The sequence below is a fragment of the Homo sapiens genome, chromosome 6 (assembly GCF_000001405.40).
Source record: "Homo sapiens chromosome 6, GRCh38.p14 Primary Assembly".
NCBI classification, from domain to species: domain Eukaryota; kingdom Metazoa; phylum Chordata; class Mammalia; order Primates; family Hominidae; genus Homo; species Homo sapiens.
This window is the reverse complement of record NC_000006.12, coordinates 139,389,281-139,395,280: the sequence shown is the minus strand read 5'-3', so window position 1 is coordinate 139,395,280 and position 6,000 is coordinate 139,389,281.

Below are 6,000 nucleotides of genomic sequence, written 5' to 3'. Positions count from 1 at the left end.
GGAACAAAATTTCACTCCTCTATAATTTGTATTTATATCAACCACTTTCATCACAATCATAAAAAATTTGTTACAATCAGCTGTAAACTAATTTGTACTATTACAATATAATCTCCTCTTTGGTTTGAGAAACTTTGGTAAAGTTTACTCTACAAGCCAGAAAAAAAAGTTATGCACCTGTATAATGCTAGAGATACACAAACCTATGGATGCAGAAGCTGTCCTTAAAGGAAGTATGTGTAGAAATGCAACTGAAGAGTTGTTATTTGTTATTAATAGAAGAAATTTGAAAAAAATAACTATAAATACTTTATAATTCTAACAAATGTAGTGAGGAAGAAATGGATTATTTAAGTCCAAAAGTAAGTACAGTACAGAAAGTTCTGATTTCTGACATTGTAACCAGAGACAAAAGAGAGAGAGGGCCTGGCGCGGTGGCTCAGGCCTGTAATCCCAGCACTCTGGGAGGCTGAGGCAGGCTGACCACTTGAGGCTAGGAGTTTGAGGCCAGCCTGGCCAACATGGCAAAACCCCATCTCTATTGAAAATACAAAAAGTTAGCTGGGCATGGAGGTGCACACCTCTAATCCTATCTACTCGGGAGGCTAAGGCAGGAGAATCACTTGAACCCGGGAGGCAGAGGTTGCAGTGAGCTGAGATTATACCACTGCTCTCCAGCCTGGGTGACACAGTAAGACTCTGTCTCAAAAAAAAAAAAAAAAGAAAAGAAAAGAAAAGAAAGAAAGAAAGAAAAAAAGAAACACACAGAGAGAGGAACACTTGTGAATGGTTCAATCTGGAAGTATAAAAAGGGGAGAAAACAAATACATACATGGATCATAGGTCAGATGTAAGAGATAAGGTTTAATGGCTAACACTAAGATGACTTGCACTATGGCTGTTTTGTAAGTAGGTATTGGAGGAGATTTTTTTAAAGTGTGAAACATTATGAAAACCTCCTCTCCCTCCTCTCCATGGAAAAAAACTATACGTGCTCTGTGTGTGTGTGTGTGTGTGTGTGTGTTTGGTATGTGGGGTGTGTGTGTGTGTGTGTGTTTGGTATGTGGGGTGTGTGTGTGTGTATGGTGTGGGGTGTGTGTGTGTGTATGGTGTGGGGTGTGTGTGTGTATGGTGTGGTGTATGTGTGTGTGTGTATTTTAAACAAAGCACAAGAAACCAGCACAGAACATCTTCACAGTAATTTTCTATCTAAAATGTGGCAGGACAAGAATAAAGAGACCTACACTTAAAAAAAAAACTTATGGCAGAAATAGCCTGGGTGAAATATGGGAGGAAGCAATTGAAGACCTTCAGGGGAAGATTTTCCTTGGTCAACATATGGAAAGTTATTGTTTCACAGTGAATAAGCAACTAGAACATAAAAATCTATCCCTCTACTAGAGTTGTTCATCAAAGGGACATTGTAGCAAGCCAAAAAAAAAATTTTTTTTTGTAACATTAAAACTGTTCTCCAGTACTTTTTCACTTATGTCATTCAATGCCCTTCTAGGATAACTCACATGACGAATTTCTCTCAGCTACGAGTAAAAAAAATCATTTATCTTTCCTAATAAACTAGTAGTCCTTTCCTTATTGGACACTGAAAGCTACATAATACAACATATTTCTCCCTTTGCCTTGGCTACCAGGAAGCGCTAAGAAAATTTGCATCCCCCAGGATTCACTGAAACCATTATCCATTGCTCCTCTTCTTTTGTAGTTTGTCTTGTTTTATTTTTGTGTTAAGATTCCTTAATTATATGTTTTGAAAAGCTGTTATTTCATTCAAAGTTGGAAAGAGAGAATGGAAAGAAGAGTATTTTTCACCTTTCCATCTAGGATAGTGCTGATTATTATGTCCTGTCCTTAAAGTGGAGAAAAGAGGGATGAAAGGTTAAAGAATTTGGGAGCAGTTTCTCTAGATTTGGAGAAACAAAACACAACCCTTGCTTGGAAAAGCTTAACTTCTGTCCAAAGTCCTACTCTACTCTACTGTCTTTTAAAAGCAATAAACAAGAATAGAAAGCCTTACAGTGTTGAAGTCAGGTCGATTTCACCTGAAACCCCAGCTGTGCCACCTGGGAACTGAGTGACTTCAGTCAAATCACTTACCCTCTCTGGGCCTCAGATAGTAACACCATTTGAGCAGAGTTGACGTTGAGATTCAATAAGACAATGTATATGAAAGCCAATGGCATACTCTAAGGCTCCTACAGTCATTCAGCAAGTATGGTCTCTCCTTTCTTCCTTCTTTTACTTCCCCCAATGGTATACTGTTTTTCTGTTTCTGAGTCATTAGACACAGTGCTGTGTTAAGTAAAGAATGCAGTGTAATTGATGCCAGCCAAAAGCCATCACTAAAGACCTCTTTTTTTACAGCTTACATTTTATGTTTTAGGGAGGGAAGGGAAGGATTCTTAACCAATTGAATTAATTAATAATTAACTTTCCTTTCCTTTCTTTTTTTTGAGACAGGATCTCACTCTGTTGCCTAGGCTGGAGTGCATGGAGTACAGTGGTGCAATCATGGCTCACTGCAGCCTCTACCTCCTGGGCTCAGGCGATTTTCCTGCCTCAGCCTCCCTACTAGCTGGGACTACATGCACACACTACCACACCTGGCTAATTTTTCTGTTTTGTTTTGTTTTGTTTTTGAGACAGAGTCTCGCTCTGTCACCCAGGCTGGAGTGCAGTGGCGCGATCTCGGCTCACTGCAAGCTCCGCCTCCCGGATTCATGCCATTCTCCTGCCTCAGCCTCCCGAGTAGCTGAAACTACAGGAGCCTGCCACCATGCCCTACTAATTTTTTGTATTTTTAGTAGAGACGGGGTGTCACCGTGTGAGCCAGGATGGTCTCGATCTTCTGACCTAGTGATCCACCTGCCTCGGCCTCCCAAAGTGTTGGGATTACAGGCGTGAGCCACCACGCCCGGCCCAAAGTCTTGTTCTTTTATGGGTTGTGTGTGTGTGTGTGTGTGTGTGTGTGTGTGTGTGCGCGCGCATGGTTTGTTTGTTTATTTGTTTTTAGAGACAGGGTCTCACTCTGTTGCCCAGACTGGAGTGCAGTGTCACTATCATACCTCACTGCAGCCTTGAACTCCTGGGCTCAAGCAAAGTCTTGCTCTTTCAATTCCACTTAACATGGGTTCCATGCTGACCATCTGCCTTTGGTTAACGCCTCTTTCTTCAGATATCTCACTGGACTTCAGCTTTCGTAGCTAACATTCTGATCATTGATTGCTGCTTTGCACCTTTTTGAAAGCAGTTTCATTCCTCTGTTGTCAACCAGAGTGCCTCCCCAAGCTCACAGCCCAGCCATTGATTAGAAATAGGTGCCTCCTGTTGTCCCAGCCATACCTGTATTGACAGACTCTTGAGCTATTTCTCTAGATAGCTAATCTCAGGGGCATGGCCCATTCTAGTTTCGCTCCCTTTCAGAGGGTGGACTATAGGTCTATTCACACCTCAAAATTCCAGTGATGCTGACCTCACTTGTACATTCCAGAAATTAAAAGAGCCTTGTAATAAACAGAGGATACTGGAAAGAAGGGTGATCAGTCTCTCTGGCACTGATAAAGGGACACAGTTGGGTTAAGAGAAATGCCTGGTTAATTGGTCAGTATGATCCATATAAATATATATATATATTTATATGTATATATATATATTTATATGTATATATATATTTATATGTATATATATTTATATGTATATATATATTTATATGTATATATATTTATATGTATATATATATTTATATGTATATATATATTTATATGTATATATATATTTATATGTATATATATATATTTATATGTGTATATATATATATTTTTTTTTTTGAGACAGAGTCTTGCTCAGTCACCCAGCTTGGAGTGCAGTAGCACGATCTCGGCTCACTGCAAGCTCCGCCTCCCGGGTTCAGGCCATTCTCCTGCCTCAGCCTCCCGAGTAGCTAGGACTACAGACGCCCGCCACGACGCCCAGCTAATTTTTTTGTGTGTGTTTTTAGTAGAGACGGGATTTCACCATGTTAGCCAGGATGGTCTCGATCTCCTGACCTCATGATCCACCTGCCTCGGCCTCCCAAAGTGCTGGGATTACAGGAGTGAGCCACCGCGCCCGGCCCAGTATGATCCATATTAGGCACTTTGCTTTTTCAGACTCTATTTGCTCACTGAGCAGTCTTTACCTAAGTCAGAATTGTAATGGTGCTTCCAGATGTTTCAAACTCCTAGTCGTGGACCTGGATTCACACCTTCGATAGCATCACTTTTGCTCCCAGTATTCTTCAAACCAATGCTTCTGCCTATGATAAACAGTTTTCATGAAATAATCTGAAAGCAAAACATCAAGATTTTTGCAATGAACAGGGTCTGTGCATTTGGCTGAGCAAGGGGCGCTGACCTTTCATGTGTCCTCAGAGCACCCTGCTAGCCACCAGCTTGACCTGCACATATGGCCCAGTTCGAGTTCTGATATGAAGTTGGCTTTCCAGAGATTCCAGAGAGCTAAGAACAACTCTGATCATTTTTCTAACCACCAGCCCATCTCTCATGACTGCTGTCTTTGGTCTGTACTTTGAGCGAAGTCTTTGGCTACACATAGGTTTTTTGTGGTGGCAGCTGGTGCACAGTTGATCCCTTCAGGATTGTCAGCAGGACATAAACAACAGGGCCTGAACTTCACATGACAGTTGATATAATCTTCTGCAACTCTTTCAAGTTTTGCTCTTTATTGTCTCTGTGTCCTGGGGCAAGTCACTTTACCTCCTTTAGCCTGAATTTCTATCATCTCTAAATAAAGTGGATTGAATAAGATGGTTTGTATGGGCCTTGCCATCTGCAACTGACTACAATTCCATCATTCTTATAAATCTACTACAAAAACTCCATCTCTGCATTCAAGGTATGGCTGGAATCAGGCACATTTTTGCATGCGCTTGTGAAATCTTTTCTACAACTTTATAGTCACACTTTGTGCACCAATTACTAGATAAACTCCTGTAAGAGTTTTGATGGTGGTTGTAACTTGATGTTTACAGAAAACTTTCTAGCTGTGGCTGCCTAGGCCTTTTGACTTGAAGGAGGATAGCTACATCAGATAGGTTGAATGACTACCATTAAGATTCAGTTGTACATTATTGATGGTAAGGAAGGAATCCAGGCTGGGCACGATGGTTCACGTCTGTAATCCCAGCACTTTGGGAGGCTGAGGCGGGCGGATCACCTGAGGTCAGGAGTTCAAGACCAGCCTGGCCAACATGTTGAAACCCCGTCTCTACTTAAAAATACAAAAAAAATTAGCCTGGCATGGTGACGTCCACCTGTAATCCCAGCTACCCGGGAGGCTGAGGCAGGAGAATCATTGGAACCCAGGAGGCGGAGGCTGCAGTGAGCCGAGATTGCACCACTGCACTCCAGCCTGGGCAACAGCGCGAGACTCCATCTCAAAAAAAAAAGAAAAAAAAAAAGAAGGAATCCAGGGTGAGCTCAGTGGCTCACACCTGTAATCCCAACACTTTGGGAGGCTGAGTCGGGAGGATCACTTGAGCCCAGGAGTTTAATACCAGCCTGGGCAACACAGTGAGACCCTGTTTCTGTGAAAAAATTAAAAAATCATGCCAGGTGCAGCGGCTCACGCCTGTAATCCCAGCACTTTGGGAGGCCGAGGCGGGCAGATCACGAGGTCAGGAGATCGAGACCATCCTGGCTAACACGGTGAAACCCCATCTCTACTAAAAATACAAAAAATTAGCCAGGTGTGGTGGCGGGTGCCTGTAGTCCCAGCTACTTGGGAGGCTGAGGCAGGAGAATGGCATGAAGCCGGGAGGCAGAGCTTGCAGTGAGCCGAGATTGTGCCACTGCACTCCAGCCTGGGCGACAGAACAAGACTCTGTCTCAAAAATAAAATAAAATAAAATAAAATAATTAACTGAGTGTGGTGGCATGCGCCTGTCATCTCAGCTACTCGGGGGGCTGAGGTGGAAGGATTGCTTGA